This window comes from Homo sapiens, chromosome 2 (assembly GCF_000001405.40).
Source record: "Homo sapiens chromosome 2, GRCh38.p14 Primary Assembly".
Taxonomy (NCBI): Eukaryota; Metazoa; Chordata; class Mammalia; order Primates; family Hominidae; genus Homo; species Homo sapiens.
Window position 1 is genome coordinate 45,579,536 of NC_000002.12, and position 22,899 is coordinate 45,602,434.

The 22,899-nt window shown below is 38.1% G+C and overlaps 1 protein-coding gene across 6 annotated transcripts in view; it reads right to left on the reverse strand.

Annotated features, from left to right (window-relative positions):
- The window catches only part of SRBD1 (S1 RNA binding domain 1), a 222,588-nt gene that overhangs the window by 190,856 nt on the left and 8,833 nt on the right, over positions 1-22,899 (reverse strand). For all 6 annotated transcript variants that reach the window (NM_018079.5, XM_011532946.3, XM_047444860.1 and 3 more), the window contains exons 3-7: positions 22,368-22,548; positions 19,914-20,300; positions 6,073-6,239; positions 2,158-2,275; positions 340-478 (exon numbers count right to left, since the gene is read on the reverse strand). In NM_018079.5, the coding sequence (NP_060549.4) occupies positions 340-478; positions 2,158-2,275; positions 6,073-6,239; positions 19,914-20,300; positions 22,368-22,548 (992 nt within the window). The remainder of the gene's footprint in view (positions 1-339; positions 479-2,157; positions 2,276-6,072; positions 6,240-19,913; positions 20,301-22,367; positions 22,549-22,899) is intronic.

Sequence of the window (22,899 nt, forward strand, 5' to 3'; positions counted from 1 at the left end):
TTTATCAAGGGATGCCATAAAGAAAGTGAAAAGACAAGTTACAAACTGGGAAAAAAGATTTGCAACACATATAAATGACAAAAATTATTTTAAAATAATAATTTTAAAAAGAACAATACAATAGAAAAACGGGCAAAAGACTAGAACAGGCACTTCATCAAAAGAGAAAAGCTGAATGGCTACTCAATAGGTATGTCAGGATTTATTTCAATTATTCTACATACGCTGTAATATTCTTTTGTATAATCAGTACTTAACAAAACAGTTTTTTAACATACGTTTTTAAATTAAAAAAAAAAAAAAAGAAACAAAGTTGATCTCTGTAAATAAAGCCAGTACCTTTAACGTCAGGCCTAATGTACGATAGCAGACTGAGCTCCCCTGGTTTCTCAAGCAGTGCCCTGGCTGCTCCTTCTAAGCCCAACTGTCTTGCTCTCTGGGCTTTAGTCCCTTTGCTTCCAGTTTTATATGGAGCAGACTAGAAAATAAAGACAGAAAACATATGATTATGTTTTAAAAAAACAAAAGTTAAAACTAGGTTACAAAATTAGAGGACATGCTGAGAATGCTAAAGAAATCCTTTTCTCAATCTTTTCCTCTTCCTTCAGAGATGAATTAAAACTAATTTGAAAATGCTTTACTGTATGAAGATGGTATGTGCTTTATCTTATTCTTTATATTTTTCTATATGCTAAATTAGTTGCTTGGTTTCACTCATCTTAAAAACTCATTGCTTGGACTGCAAAGTCCTCAACTCAAGCAAGCTCCTTTAAAAGTGTTCTACACATAATTCTACTTCTTCGTTTTTTTTGTTTTTTTCTTTTTTTTGAGATGGACTCTCGCTCTTTCGCCCAGGCCTGAGTGCAGTGGCGCGATCTCGGCTCACTGCAAGCTCTGCCTCCCAGGTTTAAGTGATTCTCTTGCCTCAGTCTCCCAGGTAGCTGGGACTACAGGAGCGCACCACTACGTCCAGCTATTTTTTTTTTTTTTTTTTTTTGCATTTTTAGTAGAGACAGGGTTTCACCATGTTGGCCAGGGTGATCTTGATCTCTTGGTCTCGTGATCTGCCCGCCTCGGCCTCCCAAAGTGCTGGGATTACAGGCGTGAGCCACCGCACCTGGCCGGTCAATTCTTCTACTTCTTTTTTTTTTTTTTTTTTTTTTTTTTTGAGATGGAGTCTTGCCCTGTAGCCCAGGCTGGAGTGCAGTGGCACGATCTCAGCTCACTGCAACCTCCTACTCCCGGGTTCAAGCAATTCTCCGCCTCAGCCACCTGAGTAGCTGGGATTACAGGCACCCGCCACCACGCCCAGCTAATTTTTGTATTTTTAGTAGAGACGGGGTTTCACCATCTTGGCCAGGCTGGTCTTGAACTCCTGACATCGTGATCAGCCCACCTCGGCCTCCCAAAGTGCTGGGATTACAGGCTTGAGCCACCGCGCCCAGCCAATTCTTCTACTTCTTAATCCACTCACTCTCCAACCCACCATCATCTGGCTTCTCTTCTCACATACCTTGCAGGAAATGATATCACAAAAATCCATGATGATCTCCTAATTACCAAATATATATATTTTTTTCAGTCTTCATTCTGCCAAACTTCTCTGCTACACATAACTGCTGATCATGACCTCCATCTAAAACTCTCTTCCCTGCTGTTCCAGGGCACCATCATCTCCTGATTCTCCTCATACTTCTCTATTTTTTTCCTACCTCCTTATGCTCTCACATCCTCCATCCACACTTCAAAAGGTGGTAACCTCCAGTGGTCAATCCTGACCTGCTAACAAACACTTCTTGAGTTCTTCCATTCTCATGGTTTCACGTACCAACTACAGGCTGAAGACATCCACATCTGGATCTCTAGTTCAGCCCTCTCTGATAAGCTTCACGTTTGTATAATCTACTGTCCTTCCCTACTTGACTGGAAATTCCTTGAGACAAAGACTATGTATTTATTCATCTTTGTAAACCCAAGTGCCTAGCACAAAAAAAACACTCTATAAATATTTATTGAATAAAGAATAAATATTTTGTTGCATTAAATAATGGTGGCTAATGACGTTAGCTTTTTATTTCTTGGTGTTCTTTAATCATAAGAAGACCCAAATTGCAATATATTCAGGTATTACATTAAAAGATAAAAAGGATTCCTTACCACGTGTTCTAGTTCTTCAAAAGTTTTACAATTCAGCATGGCTTTTAACAAGCACTCAGACATCTTCCCTTCCTTCTTAATTTTCTGGATTGTACTATGAACTTTCTTTGCAACAGCCCTGAAAAGAGAAACTTTTGTAATATACCAAAACTGTATGTCAAAACTTTCTTTTCAAAGCTACCTCAAACTTACAGAAAAGTTGCAGGTAAAGTAAAAGGAACTTTATTGTCTCTGAACTGTTTGAGAATAAGTTAACATCCCTGCACTCCAACACTTTAGTGTGATTTCCTACAAATACAAATCTTCTACATAACCACAAAATAACCATCATTATCAGGTAATTAACACTAATATATTACTACCATCTAATGCAGAGCTCATTCAGGTTTTACCAACTGTCCCAATAATATCCTTTATAGTGGATTCAGTTAAGAATTATGGGTTACATGTAGTTGGCATGCAACTACAGTCTCCTTCAAGCTAAAACAATATTTTAGTCTCTCCTTGATTTTCTTCTCCTTGATAAGGCCTTGATGTTTTTGAACGCTACTGGACAGTTATTTTGTAGAATGTCCTGCAGCTTGGGTTTCTCTGATGTTTCCTCACAATTAAATACCGATGGAGCATCTTTGGCAGAAATATCATAGAAGTCATACTGTGTTCTTACTACACGTTATTAGGTGACAAATGATTTTGATTTGTCTCATTACTAATTAACTTTGATCATTTGATTAAGGTAGTATCTGTGGGTTTCTCCAAGACACAGGTACTCTTTATTCCTCTTGTAATTATAAGTATTTTGTGGAGAGGTACTTTGAGACTATATAATTATCCCATTCCTCATTAAACTTTGAATTTATTCACTGATTTATTTATATCACTATAGATTTAATGGTTTTTTATTTTACTTAGTGCTACAATCCATTGCTATCATTTATCTTAATGTTCAAATTTTTCCAGATTTGGCCAAAAGTAACCCCTTCAAGCTAGCTTCTGTGTCCTTTTGACATGTATCTGTCATTCTGCGAGCACTTCCTTATTCTCTGGCATATGATATTTCAGGCTTATCTTCTAGTTTCCCTGCCCCAGCCCTGGAATCAGAAGAATGATACTTAAAAACCAAGGTATAGGTACTAGATATGCTCATTGCTACTGGAGTATCACTGCTCAGGATGGGCACACCTAGCACCCATAATTGGTTTCCAAATACCATTCCCCACTAAAAAGAACCAGGATTCCATGTAGAAAAGTTGATTCCAGGAATCAATTTACAGGGATCACTAAACAACTAACGACAAAAGGAAGGGTGGGCACAGTAGTTCCCCCACTTTACAACAGGTTTTCACTGTGAATATACAATCCTGTTGTTACAGTTAATGCTTCTCATCCTATTGTATTACCTCCTATTTATAGAATCTGCCTAATAATGGTATTGCTAAAATGATGGGCAAAAGTTAGAGATGATAATATGATTTATTCAAAATGATCGATGGAAAAGAAAATTAAATCTACTTGTAAATTAAAAAAAAAAAACTAAAGGCAGAAGACTATAAATTAAAGAGAAGAATATAAATTAAAAAGAAGAATATGCAGTACTTAGATTACAACCTGTATGTCTTCTATAGTCATGGTAGCCCAAGACTGTTTTCAAGGGCTAAAGCCTACCAGGTCATTTTAACAAAAAGCCAATTCCTTTTGTCCTATTAGCCTGCATATAAGGAAGAAGAGAATTATCTTTAGAGAAAAATACAGAAAACTTTTCTTACTATCCAGAATCATACTCTTTAATTCACTTTTCAACAGTGAATTTAAAAATGTTTTACGTTGCAACCCAGTATACATACATATAGATGCTACATAATTGAAACATTTCATGAAACAATATTTGCCTTTACCACATAAATGTACTCTTGTATTTTCTATTCACTATTTCATTTTTTAAGTGGTATGACTTATTAAATTGGTTTTACTTCTCATGTAGGGGTAGCAATTAACAAATTGAAAATCAATGCTCTAGTTATAGAAAATGCTGAGCTCAAGAAAAAATAAAGATCATATCTCATTACCAGAAAGAAATTTCTGTATTATAGAAAAAGATCTCTTAAGTTCCAGTCAATGCCCCCACTTACTTCAAGGAATATTCACTCCTCTACTAATATTCAATGTATTCCCCTATTCATAGAAACCCAGAGAATGGAATTCTTTTGCAATAGAAGGGTTTTTTAAAGAAAAAGAAAATAATAATATTCTTGATATACAGCTCCTATTTGTCTCCCATACAACCAAATATTGTTAGACTACCCTTTAATTTTTTAAGCAAGCTTTTCTTGCTTGTGAGGCTTTCTCCAATTTCAGATCCAAAACCCTCAGACTTTCTTAATTACCTTGCCTTCAACCAAACAGAAAGCTTACTTCAGAATTTGCAAACTGCTGGCCTTCTAGGTGTGGTCAAGAGTGGTTTTGTTTGGCCTAGAAATTTGTTACGTAAAAACTCAAATTACCAGCTTCTTTTCAGAAACAGGAAGAACCAGCAAACTGGGCAGACAACCCTGCATGACAGTAATCTACTGGAGACGAGCAAGGGTTGCCCCTCTTAGACAGGGTTTGTAATCTCCAATTCTTATTCCCCATGCTTGATTATCCTAGCCTGGCTCTGGAACATTTGCATCTGAGACTATTTGATTTAGTCATTTATATTTTTACATTGGCAAATTGATTCTGCCTCTCAATGAAGTATAACTTTCCACATATTAGCACTTTAATTCTCCTGACACTAAAAGAACGTCAAGAGGTAGAAAAGTGAGATGCAAGTTCCCCCAAAATAACAGAAAGCTTGTCAAGCTTGTTATAAAAATTACCCTTAATACTTTTAAAATGGCTTCATAGTAGAATGATAATCCAATTTTAATCAGATCTTTTTTGTACACTTGAAGAATGTACACATTAACACAGTGCCCATGGGAGACATGCAATAAATGCATAAGCAGTGAAGTGTTTTAATAAACCCTATCGAATAATATGGTCAGTCTTGTAGTCTTTGTACACATATTTCTCAGTTATTAGCAGTGAGTCCAGAGGCATAATTTTTTTAAAAAGGTACTTTCCATTCTGTAACCATACAAAACTTACAATCCACTATTGTTAAATTACCATAACCATTAAAAGTATGGGAAAAAGGCTGGGCATGGTGGCTCAAGCCTATCATCTCAGCACTTTGGGAGGCCAAGGCGGGTGGATCACTTAAGGCCAAGAGTTCAAAATCAGCCTGGCCAACATGGCAAAACCCTGTCTCTACTAAAAATACAAAATTAGTGGGGCGTGGTGGCGCATTCCTGTAATCTCAGCTACTCGGGAGGCTGAGGCAGGAGAGTCGCCTGAGCCTGGGATACAGAGATTGTAGTGAGCTGAGATTGCACCACTGCACTTCAGCCCAGGCGACAGAGCAAGACTCTGTCTCCGAAAAAAAAAAAAGATGGGAAAAGGAAATATACATATTTCCTACCAAACTCTATACTGCCAAAGAACTCTCCACTTAGGAACTTTATGAAATTAAAAGGACAGATTTATGTGAGTGGTTAAAAGAGTTAGAATAAAATGTACTTTCTGAGTTTCCTGCTGGCAGTCCTAATTTTGCCATTATGCCCAACCTTTTCTATGAAAGAAGATGACAGTCAAACTCTGAGGCACACACTTTTACTGCAAATGACCTTTTTGCTAATACATGCTCAAGCTATGCATAAACACACCAGCAGAGGGACTCCATACACTCGCTAAATAAAGAGGACTATATCCAGATTACAATAATTCAAGGAAACAAAATGTTGAAATTGTCAAATATACCGTCATTCACTTTCTCACTGTTCCTCATTGGCCTTTTCCCCTTACACTAGGCTTATTCTTTTTTAGGTTTCTTACCGTAGCTCTTCTAGGGTTTGCTGAACTTCTCTCAAGGAATCAGCATCAAGGTTATTAATGAGCTCTTTTCTATAACGTATAATGAAGGGAATTGTGTTATCATCATTAAAGAGACGAATGATGTTGGCACAAACCCAAGGTTCAATATTAGTTCTCTCAGATAAAACCTGCAAATTAAAGATACTTAGTGATTTAAAATGCTGAAAATTAAACATCTATATCATGTATAATTTAAAACATAGTATCAAATAATGTTCTCCAGTGACTTAGAAACTACTTGCTATAGTTTTTTAAAAAAAAGAAAGCCATATAAAATACATGTATCCATTGACAATCATAATGGTAAAATAGCCATTTCACAAATTCAATAAAATCTAATCCAAACCACTGTATCATTCAAATTCCAGTGTTCAATGAGGGCACTTTTTAATGATGCAATGATATACTTTTCATCTCTCATATTGGTAGCAAAGCAAGGAGTTGGTAACTCACTTTGTCAGCATGAGAGCAAAGGAAAGCCATTTTTAGTCATTGCTAGTGAGCAATTTGGCAATATCTATGAAAATTTACAATGCATAAACAAACTTTGGCCCAGCAGCAATTCTACTACTGGAAATTTATCATAACATATACATGCCTCTAGAAAATATTATTTATAATAATTTTTTTTTGAAGAACTGTCCCTAGCAGAGTAAAGGTGAGCAAAAACCTAAGTTTACAATGGAGGAACTGGAAAATATGTTATGCCCATACTAAATACCATGCAAGCATTTAAGAATCTGAGGCAGCTCTATATGAACTAATATGAAATGATTCACAAGATCTGGAAATAAAAAGGTAATTGGTTGGGTGAGGGTTAGAGTTGGAAGACCCTTCTATATCTTTTGAATTTTGTATCATGCACAAATACAACATCTTCAAGCTAATTAATTACTTTTTAATTTTTTTATTTTTTTGAGACAGTGTCTCGCTCTTTCACCCAGGCTGGAGTGCAGTGGCACAACTGTGATTCAATGCAACCTTGAACTCGCAGGCTCAACTGATCCTCCAGCCTCAGCCTCCAAATAGCTGGGACTACAAGCCACGCCATCACACCTGGCTAATTTTTTTTTTTTTATTAGTGGAAATGAGGTCTTACTACATTGCCCAAGCTGGTCTCAAATACCTGGGCCCAAGCAATCCTCCCGTCTCAGCCTCCGAAAGTGCTGGGATTACTGGCATGAACCACCGAAACAGGCAATTAATTATTTTTTAAAATATTTGTTTTAAAATATTATTTATTTAAAATCATTGGTATTTTAAATATTTAATTATTTTAAATTATAAATATTAAAATATTTAAAATTATTTTAAATTATAAATATTAAAATATTTAAAATTATTTTAAATATTTAATTATTTTAAATTATAAATATTAAAATATTTAAAAATTTTTAAATATTTAATTATTTTAAATTATAAATATTAAAATATTTAAAATTTTTTAAATATTTAATTATTTTAAAATATAATTATTAAAATATTTAAAATTTTTTAAATATTTAATTATTTTAAATTATAAATATTAAAATATTTAAAAATTTTTAAATATTTAATTATTTTAAAATATTATAAATATTAAGATATTTGAAATTATTTTAAATACATATTAAAATTGATGTTAATTATAATATTAAAATACTAATATTTACAATAATATTAAAAGATGATTAATTATTTAAATATTTAATTATTTTTAAGTCTACAGGTTTTAGCAAAATGTACAGTTAAACAGAAAAGTTTACAAAAGTCAGCCCGGAAAAGAGAAAGAATAAAATCCAATTTTAGTAGCTTCCCAAACCCTAAGCAGCTCTTTCAAAGTAAAGAACAAAAGGAGTACGTTTTATTATTATTTCAACCCTGAATGCCCAAGATCTGACAGAAACTGGGGTAAAAAACAGGGAAAATTTATTAAAGAATTATCGTAATCAACTGATTATCAAAATCAAGTCCAGATACATAACAGACTGAATTTCAAGACTACATATGAAATAAATGGCTAAACTCCAGAGACTATAGAGGATATCTCATTCTCGGGGCACATTAAATCCTGAGGTCTACATCTTATCACCCATTCTGATGGATTAATGCCAATTCTGACAAGAAAGCCAATTTCACATTTCTATCCCTGACTCTCTTTCACATGAGCTCTAGACTCATTTAGCTAACTATTTTGACACATTCTCTTGGAAATCTAATGGGCATCTCAAACCTTGCATTTCCAAAGTTATCTTCTTCTCAAACTTATTTCTCCTCTACTTTTACCCATATTATGCTATTCAAATGGCAATTCAACCCAGAAAACTGAGTCTAACTCTTCCAACTCCTTCAACTCTTAAATCCAATCCATCTTAAGAACCAGTCAACTTGAACTGCAAAATATTTCCTTACTCTGTCACTGTTCTTCATTTCTTCTGCCCCACACCCCAGTCTAGTTCTAGCCTGAACTAATGAAATAGCTTTTACCTGTTCTCCCTGCATCCACTCTGTCTCATCTATTCCAGTATACACAAAGCAACAAGAATGTTATTTTCAAAATGTATACTGGATGTTGACCTGTCACTGATTTCCCGTTGCATTTGGAATCCAAACTCCTTACCATGACCCAAAAGAAAGCAGCCTCTCTCCAACCTCATCTTATCCAGTCTTTCCCTAGATCATTAGATGCCAGCCCAATAGCCTTCTCTCAGTTCCTAGAACAAGGCCAGTTACTTTGCTCTTAAGAGGCCTTCATGAGGCTCCTCCCTCTTTAGAAATACTCCTGTTGCTTGTTATCTTCCCTGACCCTCACAAAATCAACTCATTTATATTTTCTCTCTCAAACCTGTACCTTTTCCTGTTTCCTGTTCCAGTCCACATCATGTCATCTACCACAGAAACCTTAGGAGATACTGTGGTTATCTCCCATAATACTGTGGCCACCTCTCTCCATTATATAGCAGCTATGTGGCTTGACAGCACTTGACCCTAACTCCAGCTCTACAGCATGAGGCTCAAGGAACCAGCTGTTTTCAGAATTAACAGCCTGAGTGCTGCATTGCTCTGGCCAGAGAGATTAGCCCAATCAGCATAAAGTTAAGATTTGGGCTGGAACTTCCTCTGAAGAAATACAGTTTGTAGAGGTAGAAATTCAAAGTTGTAGCCATTTTATTGTTATGAGGATGGTGGTGCTAAGAGAATAGTAGATTGTTTCAGTGAACTGACCAAAAATTTCCTGTTACATAGGTCAATAAATCTCCTTTATTGCTTAAACTAGTTTGAGACAGTTTTCTTTCATTGTAATCAAAAGCATTCTAATCAATGGCCTAAGCATCACTGTATATTCTCTATCACATCCATCTACTCTGTCACCAAGGAGGCAAACAGAACTTATAAAATGTCTGTTCCCTCCCCCCTCAAGCTCTGTTTCCACTAATAGCATCTTTGATCTGAACCCATAGTAGGTATTTATTGTTGTCTATGCCTCCCACCCATCCCATCTGCATTACTACAGATATTTCTAAAATACAAATATAATCAAGCCCCTTATTTTCTTCTTTTGTTTGAACTTAAGCTCCAATGACTCTTAGCTACCTACAGGTAAGGGTCAACCACACTTCCCTCTTGAGAGGCCTTCATGAGGCTGCTCATGAAGAAGTTAGCAATCTAGAGGGGAAGATAAAATATTAATCCAAATAAGTAAAAATAAAACAGCATGTGCCAGGCAATAAGTGGCACCATGTTTTTAAAGAAAAGATCTCCCTGAGGTAACCAAGGGAGGCCTGCTGAAGGAATAGCATTTTGATTGACCCTTGAAAGATAGGCAAGATTCTGAAAGACAGAGATGACAGGTGGAAACGACAGGAATGCTCATCATTTTGGAACTGTGTGATTGTTAGAGCAATCCATGGGCTCCCACTACCCAACAGCTCAGTTATTGTTGAATAAAAGAAACCTAAGACAGCTAAGACTCCAGACACTGGATGGTACTAGGTCCTAACAAATCCATATGGCATCATGTATGTTATGGGAGTGTACAGTGCTGCTTATGCAAATTTGATCCTTGAAATTAAGGCTAACAAAACCACATACAAGCAGTCTTCATTCTGGGGACTCCAAATCACCAAATGTTTTCTATATTGATTCAGTTGAACATTTATTTTAGCTCATATTATATGCCAATAACCATACTAAGCCAATGATAATCAAGATGTAAAAAAAATCAAGTGCCTCTTCTCAAGGAGCTAACAAGCTAACAAAAGCAGACAGACATGTAAATAGTCAACATACAGTATGGTTCATACTCTGACAGAAGTGTATATACATTGTTTTAAGACCACAGGAAAGGTGGAAACATCGAATTCTGCAGCAATGGAAAAGCAAAAAGAGAATGAAGGTATTTCCAGGCAGCTAAACAGGGAGGCAGGAATTCCAGGAACAGAGAATAACATCAAAAGCCTCTGATGAGAAACCAATGCACATGTTTTAAATCGCTAAAAGTTCAGTAATGCTGAAATATATAAAACTGCCTTTGCAAAAATCATAACTGAGAAAATTATTACAGCGAAAGAGATCTGACCTAACCAATTCCATCTTGTTCCTAACCTCCAAGCTGTCCTTGTCCATTCCTAGGCGTACGCTGAACTAACTCTGGGAGGAACTCAGTTTACAGTTTAGCTTTGAAACGAAGACAATAACAGCATTTTTGCAAAACAAATCCCCTTCCTGCCTGGGGACTAGACTCCTTTGTAGGACTAACAAATTAGCCACAAGAGTAGAAATTATGGTTCAGGAGTTGATATGGTTTGGCTCTGTGTCCCCACCCAAATCTCACCTTGATTTGTAATCCCCATAATCCCCACGTGTCAAGGGCAGAACCTGGTGGAGGTAATTGAATCAAAGGGGTGGTTTTCCCCATGCTGTTCTTGTGATAATGAGTGAGTCTTACAAGATATAATGGTTTTGTAAGTGTCTGGCATTTCCTCTACTTGCACTTTTCCCTGCCACCATGTGAAGAAGGATGTGTTTGCTTCCCCTTCCGCCATGATTGTAAGTCTCCTGAGGTCTCCCCAGCCATGCTGTACTGTAAGTCAATTAAACCTCTTCCCTGGCCAGGTGCGGTGGCTCATGCCTGTAATCCCAGCACTTTGGGAGGCCGAGGCGTGCGGATAACCTGAGGTCAGGAGTTCGAGACTGGCCTGATCAATATGATGAAACTCCGTCTCTACTAAAAATACAAAAATTAGCTGGGCATGGTGGTATGCGCCTGTAATCCCAGCTACTCAGGAGACTGAGACAGGGGAATCACTTGAACCCGGGAGGCAGAGGTTGCAGTGAGCCGAGATTGCAACACTGCACTCCAGCCTGGGCAACAAGAGTGAAACTCTCAAAAAAAAAAAAAACCCTCTTTCCTTTATAAATTACCCAGTCTCAGGTATGTCTTCATAGCAGTGTGAAAATGGACAAATACAGGAGTCATGCAGCTGGAGGCTTCAGGATTTTAAAAATCCCCAAATTGCTCCTGGGGATAACATTCCCATTGTAAAACCTAAGATCAGTGCTTAAGATATTTTGCAGACCCTGCACTACATGGATCAGATGGCAACATGCAGATTGATAACCTAGTTCATCTGGTCTTATGGCCCCCACCCAGGAACTGACTCAGCAGAAGAGGACAGCTTTGACTCCCTATGATTTCATCTCTGACCTAACCAATCAGCACTCCTGACTCACTGGCCCCCTACCTACCAAATTATCTTAAAAACTCCAATTCCCGAGTTTTCAGGGAGACTGATTTGAGTAATACTAAAACTCTGGTTTTCCACACAGCTGGGTCTGTGTGAATTACTCTTTCTCTACTGCAATTCTCTTGTCTTGATAAATAGGCTCTGTGTAGGCAGTGGGCAAAATGAACCCATTGGACAGTTACATGTACAAGGAGTGTGAAGATCAGGTGAGAAATGGAAAGGTGGATGAGGCTACATGGTGAATTCTATAGAGTTTGAACTTGATATCCTATACTCAATATGAAGCTGTTACAGGTAGTTAGACAGGCATGAGCATGGCAGGAGAGCCCCCCTCCCCAACTAGGAATGTTGGGTGATGGTTCAGCAATTATCACATTGCCTCTCTAAAAGTGATAAATTGGCAGCCAGCCCCAGGAAGAGGCCATTTCCTGATGGTCCATACTTATTACACTAAAGTGTTAACTGAATGCAGACACCAGGGAGAAGCAACTTCCCGGACATGCACACTGAGAGACAAAATGGTGGAGTATGACCTTCCAGTGTGATATGGTTTGGCTATGTGCCCACCCAAATCTCAACTTGAATTGTATCTCCCAGAATTCCCACGTGTTGTAGGAGGGACCCAGGGGGAGGTAATTGAATCATGGGGGCCAGTCTCTCCTGTGCTATTCTTGCGATAGTGAATAAGTCTCACCAGATCTGATGGGTTTATCAGGGGTTTCCACTTTTGCTTCTTCCTCATTTTCTCTTGCTGCTGCCATGTAAGAAGTGCCTTTTGCCTCCCACCATGATTCTGAGGCCTCCCCAGCCATGTGGAACTGTAAGTCCAATTAAACCACTTTTTCTTCCCAGTCTTGGGTATGTCTTTGTCAGCAGCATGAAAACAGACTAATACATAGGGACACACCACCAAAGAAGCAAAGAAAGCCTCAGATGGGCTATGTACAACTTCCTAAACACACACCATGTACTCACCTCCCAAGCATAAGGAGGGCACTGCACATGCGGGCAGCCCACTCTAAGGGAAGAATCACGGGAAAGGGGCTGGCCTATAAAGTCCTAGGATCAAAGTTAAACACCACACTTGACCTCAGTGCCTGCTTGGGTCTCTTCCGAGCATACTTTCCTTTCCTTTCTTTCCTGTTCTAAAGCCTTTTAAACAAACTTCCACTCCTACTCTGAAGTTTGCCTTGGTCTCTCTTGCTTTATGCCCCTCAGTCGAATTCTTTGGAGGAGGAGGCAAAAACTGAGGTTGCTGCAGACCCTTACAGATTTGACATCAGTAACTTGGATACCTTCCACTGGTAACAAAGCCATTCAACAATGGATCCACTCATTGTTTGGTCTCACCTGTTGAGTCAACCCCCTTTTCAAGAGTTGATGAGATCTATGAACTACAGCAGTGGTTTACAATGTGTGGTCCCCAAACCAGCAGCATAAGCATCATCTGAGAACTTGTTAAAAATGCAAATTCTTGGGTCCCACCCAAAAGCCACTCAATCAGAAACTCTGGGGTGGGGGTTTAATAACGTGTGTTTGAGAAAAATTAGGCAAACAACAAAGAAACAACTAAAAGAGCTAAAAACAGAGAACAAGTCTTAGAGTTGGGAAGGGGTAGGGCAAAGAACTACCATAGTTTTCACTTATAAGCGATTCACATTTATTACTTTTATATTTTTTAAAAATTAACTGGCAGATAGGAATGAGAGTAAAGGGGAAAAAAGGCACTCTCGAGAATTTTTTGTACTTCTAAGACAGAGGTACTTATTTTGACTGTTGTTTTAGGCTAATTCCTCTATAGAGTCTATTACGTTCCAAACACTCTTACACAGTCAATATAAACTCATTTAAACTATATGAGAAAGGTACTTTATTGTTCCCATTTTATAAATGCAAAAACTGAGGGCCGAAAAAGTAAACTGCCCAAAATTCCACAAGCTATATAACCTCTTCAAAAATTCAATTTATATGCCAAGCAAGATGATTCCTCAGGCATAATCCTCATGTGTCAAGGGCACAACCAAGTGGAAGCAATGAATTATGGGGGGCGGTTTCCCCTATGCTGGTCTCAGGATAATGAGTCTCATGAGATCTGATGGCTTAAAATGCCCTCTCTAAAACCTCCAAGAAAATGCTTTTTCCCAAAGTGTCCTGAGATTTACTCCTCCAAAAGGAAATTGCTATTTCCTCAGTTAAAAAGAAAACATCTTGGCATCAACCAAATAAACTATAGCCTTAATCATCCAGGCAGCATCTGCATTTTAAAAGAACATCTAAGTTAAATGACTCTCTAATGAGTGAAATTGAGAGAATTTTCTATTCTAAATCACTCCCAAACCAGCGACTGGCCACCTCCCCTCTGAAAAGCTGTTGATTTCTGCTGTTCTCCTTACCCTTACCTAGTTATTTCACTGTATCACTTATTCTACTACACACACAAGTTTCCTTACAGATTGCAAAAGGAAAAACCAGTGCTGTTAGAAATCAGAAGAGTGGTTGTATGAGACAGAAGGAGGAATTGGAAAATAGTATAAAGGGGGATTTTGAGATGTTGGTAATGTTCTGGAAGCTTGTTGCATGGTTACACTTTTGAACATCTCTGAGCTGTACATTTATGTACAATATTCTGTATGTTATACTTCAAAAAAAGGTTGTTTTTTAAAAAGACCATAATAAACACTACCAACTAAATTATATTAACAAAAAGTACCAATTTCTCTTATTTAATTTCTCCTGGACAAATAGGTTAAACCTAATAAGTGGTTCCACCTTTATACACAGAATTGCACTGAGATACACAACTCAGAAATGTTGACCACTTTTTGTCTCACTTCTTTCCCCAATTTTGTCATCCCATGGCTTTCTTCACGCACATAATTCCACACAATTCCACACAATCTCTTGCAACAAAGGGAAAACAGCTAATAAAAAAGGTTTTGTTTGCCTTTTCTCCCTGTTTAGCAAACTTTACTAAGATATTACACATGGCTGCTCAACTCCCCTACACTCACCACTCCCGAAAGAAACTGGACAACAACCACCTTTGGAGCAGTTTAATTTTCCCAAAAATTGTCTGTAGCTGGTCACTTCTTCAAATTCTTATAGTTCATGGTATCCAAAACATATCTGCAAAATAACTTTAACAAAAACTAGTTTCTGGTCGCAATCACACATTTGCAGTTTGGGAGAAAGGGCTGAAAAGGAGTAGGTTGCTTCTGTCAAAAGACCTGGTGATCCCCAACCCCGGATCAGGAAATAGAAACAAAATACATTCATGTATAATGTCTGTTAAAACATTATAGGAAGCCATTGTTTTGGATGAAGCTCCTGCAGTAGGCCCCGATAGACCCTATGTTCCATAGACTAAAAATCAAAATGAACTCACCCTGGCTAAAATTTTAGTCACCAAACTAAAACAAAGTTGTTATCTGACTTTCCAAGAAATCTAAAGAATGATAACAGCCAATTTATCAAACAGGCCAGTTTCAATCTTCAATAGGCATGATAATAAAGTTCCCTCTACTTTAATCCTTATACAAAAAGACTGAAGTAACTTCATTTTATCTGTTATTTTTCTATTTTTCTGTCTCCCTCTCTCCACTTTACAAGGAAAGCAATCCACTTTCTGTTGTTTCTGCTTTCATTAGTCCTATCTATAAAACCAACCCCCCTGCTTAATTCATTAGAACACTTATCCTATTTTATGAAATGAAGTGTTGCTTGATTCTAGAATCATAAACCCAACAGAGATCTTTAAACTAAACTTGTAATTTTGTCCTTTTGACAAGCCTAAAACTAAATCAAGTGTTGACTATATAGTTCTGCCTCTCCAAACAAGACAGTGATGTTCCTGAAAAAAATCTGTAGTTTTCAGAGTTGAGAAATACACCTTGAACGGAAAAAAACAGAGGACCAAGTTATCATTGTGGCCAAGGCCATGGGGAATAGTACACAAAATAAAGGATATATAAATGACATTTCCACATGTTCAACTAGTAATACTTAATAATTTCCATACAATTAAGTTTCACAACCATTCCTTGCTAACTAGATAACTATTCAGGATTTCCCCCAAAGAATTTGGACATACATTTTGTGGCAGATAATATGCATGTTACAGGTATTTTGTTGAGTCTGATCCTTATCCAAATGTTCAGGACTTTTCTGATTTTCTGGCTTGGTATTACTTGACTCTCATTCTTGTCAGTTCCCTCTTTTTCCAACATCTACCCCTGTTCTCAACCATGTTTACAAGCAGGAATACAGTTTTAAGACAAAATTACTTTCTCTCTGACAAAGTTTCTCCTGTTTACGGAGAAATTTTAAAAGTATAGGAAAGGAAATCCACATATACCACAATAATTGTCTGTAAAATTCAAGTTAAAATTAAGGAAGGATAATTGCAACTGGTTAAATAAAAAGAACCCAAACATGTAAAATTCACATGTAATAGTTTCCCAGGCAATTTCCCTAAACCCACCAGGAAAATGCTGAGCTTAATAATTGCCATCAGATTGCTCAGCAAAGGTGGCAGCGTCCCAAAAACCACTTCCCAATTCACAGGCAAGGAGTGCCCAGATTCTCAGAGAATAGGCATTCAGCTGTCAACATTCACTTCAAAAAAGGAAGAGGAAAAAAAAATTGCTTGGAATTAAAAGGAAAATCTAGCATGCCTATAATTTTCAAAATATTTTCTAAGAGGGCAAAAGGCCATAAAATAGTTCTTGTGCCTTTAAATGAGACAACTTGCTTCCAAGTCACTATTCCCACAACACAACAAAGGACATTACTGCTACTAGCTTACAAATAAAACTTTTCTTTCTTTACTTTTCCTTTGTCACTCACCTTCTGGCAGCTGGGCACCTATCGCTCATCATACACTTGTCCCTCCTCATTCTATTCAGCAAGTAATCTTGCCTTTCTCTTGGAATGTATTTTCCAAAAGGCTTTGTTTAGCTGCTATTTTAGTGACATTACAGAACGCATTAGTGAACCCAGATATTCATTCCTAACCAAACATTAAAAGTCTAGGTTAACGGATTGCAGAACAAATTTTCTTCTCTCAAAGCTCTGAAATCACCTTCAGTTATACCTATTAGAGAAATGATGCAAACTAGAAACTAAATTCTACAAATACTTTGAGTCAATTCTCAGTAATTTCTCAGTAAGTTTTAACTTTAAGATGGTTTTTCTGAACAAACAAAACTGTTTTCTGTCTATTTTACTCCTATCCATAAAGGATTTTTTGATGGTTAACCCATTGCATCTACTAATCCATCATGATAATGTAGTAAACAAATCTAAAGTGCCTAGTACAGAGCCGAGCTCATAACAAGTCATCTATAAATAAATGGTAAGTATTATGATCCCTTGTCAATTAAAGATCTGTAAACCAACACCTTAAGGTATTATGGTAAAAGAAACCTAAGTATTTGTCAACAGTGGCTAATCATCACCTAGATTTATAAATTTACATTCTAAAGCTGAACCCTGAAGTAGACATCTTCTGGCCCAGAAATGCCCTCCTTTTCTCAGAGAACACCCCCCCACAACCCTAACACACACACACACACACACACCCACAACCCTAACACACACACCCACACCCACAACCCTCACACACACACACACACACACACACACACAGCCCTGGCAGCCATATTTCTAAAATACAGTGAGGCCTCAGCACCCCAGGCACTGGACCAGAGATGGATACCTGACCCAAATTCAGCCAATCAGACTTTCTTCTTAAAATTTGGAACTGGAGGCTGAGTGCGGTGGCTTACACCTGTAATCCCTGCACTTTGGGAGAAAGAGGTGGGCGGATCACCAGGTCAGAAGACGGAGACCATTCTGGCTAACATGGTGAAACCGTGTCTCTACTAAAAATACAAAAAATTAGCCAGGCGTGGTGGCACATGCCTGTGGTTCCAGCTACTCAGGAGGCTGAGGCAGGAGAATCGCTTGAACCTGGGAGGCAGAGGTTGCAGTGAGCCAAGATCGCGCCACTGTACTTCAGCCTGGGCGACAGAGTGAGACTCTGTCTCACAAAAAAAAAAAAAAATGTGGAACTGCAATACAGAAGCAACTGGTTAGTCTACGTAACTAATAAAACTAATGGCAAATAAACTAGGGAGCTGTCATTTTCTATCCTCTGTAAAGAAGCAAGAAAATCTTATCTGCTGAGAAAATAATAACTCAAACAGAGAAGCAGCAGAAATTGGTGATTATAAGACACCAGATAGAGAGAAAACTAACAGCACCTTCTCTGAGTCCTCACAGTTTCCAATTTCTGGTTCAAGTCCTTTGGGAGACTTGACCACATTCTGTCCCTTTTGTTCTTTGAAAGGTCCCTATGTCCTTGGTGAAAAACTCTTTTCTACTTAAGCTCATTATAAAGAGCTTATATACTTGTAACCTAGAGACAAAAGGTTAAGGCAGGGCCATTTTCTACATCTCTTTCCCTGTAACAGAGGGTGGGAAGCAGAGTCATAGAATAAGTAGCTCTTTACTACGAATAACTTATTACCAAGTCTCAAAGACCAGAGACTTCACAGTCTAAAACTTCTTAACTTCCTCCTGCACACTGCCAACTACCAGAGGTGGATCTATGTCAACAATGGAAATAACCTTAAAAAGCGTTAGAAAAGGAAAAGAGAAGGGAAGTGGTACATGTCCACCTGCCTCTGTAGGCCTGGTCTGGAACCAAGAACTTTAAGAAAGGCTTCAGGGTGAATCTGATGCAGGTAGTCCATGGACCACACTTTAAAACACTGCCTTCTAGGTATAAATGAACAAAGAAAAAGAAGGCATAGAAAGGAGCCTAATTATACTCTGTTTTTCCAAGATACCTTGGACTATTCATTCAGGAACAAGGTAAGAGGAAAAGCTGTAAAGCAACATTCTATTCCTTAGTGCACCACAGAGAAGAAAAATCATGATTAAAAATTACCAGTGACAGGCCAGGCGTGGTGGCTCATGCCTGTAATCCCAGCACTTTGGGAGGCCGAGGCGGGCAGATCACGAGGCAGGCAGATCGAGACCATCCTGGCTAACACGGTGAAACCCTGTCTCTACTAAAAATACGAAAAATTAGCCGGGCGTGGTGGCAGGTGCCTGTAGTCCCAGCTACTCGGGAGGCTGAGGCAGGAGAATGGCATGAACCCGGGAGGTGGAGCTGACAGTGAGCACCACTGCATTCTAGCCTGGGCGACAGAGCAAGACACCGTCTCAAAAAAAAAAAAAAATTACGTTTTACTAAGAGGTAATAGAAAAGGCAGCATGGGTACAAAGACATTTGTGACACACAGGCAGTCCCAGATTGAGAAGTGGAATCAGGATCCAGCAGAGGCCCTCAGCTCTACAGCCACAATCATAGCAAGGGAAAGAGTACACAATAGAATCACATGGGACAGATAACAGGGAGGGAAGTCACCCCCACCTACCCTGAGAGGCACTACCATAATTAAGTCTAAAATGGTCCCAGAATGTGCTGGGACAGACAAAAGCTCACTAGCTACTCTTCGGGTCTCCAATACTGTCCCCAAAGCCAGCCAAAAAAACTGGGAGAAATCTGATTTCCCCTGTAGTAAGACATATAATTCTGGCATCTCAAGTTGGAATTCTTACAGAATTTCCTTTCAAAAATCGCTAGGCCTTGTTGTAGTACATTACAACATTATACTAAGGGTTAAATAGATGTATGAACAGCCAGTGACCTAATCACCTACACTGCTTTTATAGGAAAATACAGTCCAAGTTCAAAGCAAAAACTTAACAATGAACCTGTGGGGGCCCAACCAGTTGGTACAATCTGTCTATATAGTTTATGTTCACTAAAACACCATAGCAAAGGCCAAGAGAGGCCACACATCTTAGCTGAAGAACTGATGATTAGCTACAACACAAAACAGTGTACCCAAGAAAGTTACAAGTAGGAAAGCCTCCAGAAATCACTGGCAAAACTGAAGAGAGAATTGAAAACCCCCAGCCCTTCCCTTAGACAGTACAACCCCTATGCTAGTCAAAAAGAAAGCACTCAAAACAACTAAAGTGACAGAAAAAGGCTGCACATACCTGTACCATGTCCCAATTCATTTCCACCTCCTCTTTAGTACTATTGGCATTTGCTGGAAACTTGACAGGCTGCCCCTGAGGATATGTCTCAGTCTTGATTTTCTTTAAAGCGGACTGACCAAATGTAAAGTCATCGTCATTCTCTTCCTTCTTGCATGTACCTCCCCACACAGTGCTTGTGGATGGTGTCTCTGAACTATTACTCTCACCCTCTAAGTTGCTGGCTTTGCTGGTTTCTTCTTCAACTTTCAGCTTTTTAGTCCTTCGAACTGTATGTGGCTGCGCTGCACATTTCTGTTTTGTCTTGGCTGTTTTCAGAGTCTGTACAGTATCCAATTTATTTTTTCTGTCTTCTAAAGCAGTATCAGCAATAGCCACAGAGCTATTCTATCAAACCACAAAGAGAACATATGAGAATTAGAAGATAAAAAGCAATTTCCTGGGACTATTACTCACAAATAAAAGTGAACAAATTATTGATACACACAATAACTTGGAAGAATCTCAAGTAAATTATGTTGAGTGGGAAAAAAAGCCAATCTCAAAGTTACATACTATATGAATACATTTATATAACATTCCTGAAGAGATTAGAGGTTGGCAAGGGTCAGAGATGATGGGGGGAGGTGGGTGTGGCTATAAAAGGGCAACACTAGGCATCTTTGTGGTGATGGAACTTTTCTGTCATGGTAGATACACAAACCTACATGTGCGATAAAATTGCACAGAACCAAGTACATACATATACATACACATGAATGAATACAAGTAAAACTGGAGAAATCTAAATAAGATCAGTGGATTTTATCAATGTATCTCGGTTGTGACATCTTACTATAGATTTGCAAGATGCTACCATTCGGGAAAAAATGGATAAAGAGTACATGGAATTCTTCTATTATTTCTTCCCATTGCATGTCAACTATTTAGAAATAAGCAGTTTAATTTTTAAAAATGAGTAAAGGATAGGTCTACACATGCCAGAAAACCAAGATTAAAACTTGCTATCAAAGTCAACCACTTAGCAGACAGAAAAGTAACACTCATTCACTCATACAACTCAACAGGCTACACATGCCACCAATTTCTGCTGAAGAGTAGAGGATAGAACACAGAATGATAGCAGGCTAATGTCAGGCATTTTTCTTTAACAAGAGTCCGCACAGCAGCCCACACAGGTGTCTAGGGACTACACTCTGCACTGCCACTGCCCCCCAATCCAAGTGACAGCTCAAGTGTGAAGAAATGAGACTTGGCACCCATCTCGGCACTGGGTATAGTGTAAATAAGATAAAGACCCTACCCCTAAGCTGGTCTGTTCTCCGTTACCTAAATGATGCAGATGGCACAAACATGAACAATTCCCAAACTAAATTTTAGTCAAAATTCTATCTTCTCTTTTATCAAGTATTTTTTCCAGAATCACTATTAAAAATATTAAGAACTACAATAAAGAGCACCTCCACCTGAATGCCAACCTGCCACCACCACCATCTGAACTTGAAAATAATGAACATTAGAGAGCCCTCTGAGTATTAAATTTTTTGCCCAAAATAGAATGGATCAGAGCAGAGACATAAAGATAAAATAACTCCCAGGCCTAAAAGAGTTGATAACCTAATCAAATGAATTGACATATCTAAAGAAAGTGTCAATCATAAAGGGTGTTGTCAGCCACTGTCTTAGCTTCAAGCTATTAAAACATTCAATTGTGATTGTGACAAGCATAATGCCTAGACCACAGTGGACATTCAATAAACTCAAACGAATGGATTTATCTCATCATCCTATTCTGAGTCCATGCTCATCAAGTAAATTTCTGATTACTACTTAATTCCCTATTCAGATTAGGCTCCAAGGAGAACGAAATGCTGGCCATAAGAATTTCAAGTCCTTAAGATTATTATTTTAAACTATTAAATATTAAACCAGCACTCTGGTTGTATTTATCTCTCTTGTGAACACAACTGATGTAAAAACACCCAAGAGAGATATATCTGTTCCCAAAATGTTGACAAAATCATGTTCCTAACTTAGAAACCCAGTTCCATCACTTACTATCTGTACACCGTGAGCAAGTCACTTAACATCTTTCTTCAGCTTTCTCATCTATAAAATCAGCATAAAAGCACTTGCCTCAATGGTTGTTATAAAGATTAAGATCATTTAAATGAAATGTTGAGCACATTGCCTGGCTAATGGTAAGCACTCAACTATTTGCTAATGCCACCATCATTACCAGCACTACCACACCCAGACCAACTCCTAGGAGAGGGAAAAGGGAATAGACAAAGAAACACAGTACAGACCCAAAAATTAAGACCCAGGGTAGGGGATGCCATTGCTGGCAGTTTTTGTCATTTACATGCCTTGTCCTACTCTGTAGAATAAGAAAATAACATCACCAATCAGGAAGACACTACAGAGTTCCCTCTATCCAGCTGTAGCACCTACCAGCTCCTCCTTAACAACAACGACTTCTGAGCCATCACTGATCTGTGGGGCATTCTTCTTCACCCGAGGCATCCTCTTTGGTTTGGATTCCTTGGGAGGGGGCTGTTTACGGCTTCTGGGAACTTTCTTTTGGGGCTCCCAGGCACTATCTTCCTTGTCATCTTCTTCAGAGGCAGATGATCTAGAAGTAAATCAACAGAATAATCTCCAGGAAAAATAAAAGCAAATGTCAAAGGTAAAAAAGAGATGCAAGATTCTTGAAAAAATGATAAAGTAGGAGGTGTTTAATATAAAATGGAGTGATTGAGTACAGGCTGTGAACAGTTATTGCTAAGAATTGAACCAACAGAGTTGATGACGGACCAGTATAAAAATACCGCAGTATGCTGTAAATCACAGCTCTGTCTCTCCATTCTCTTCTCACCTAACTGACAAACACATACACACATTCATTCAAGACATAGAAAATCATTTATTACCTTAAGTAATTTACTGGGTCATGTCAAACTATAGTCAATGTGAGCTTTTCAAT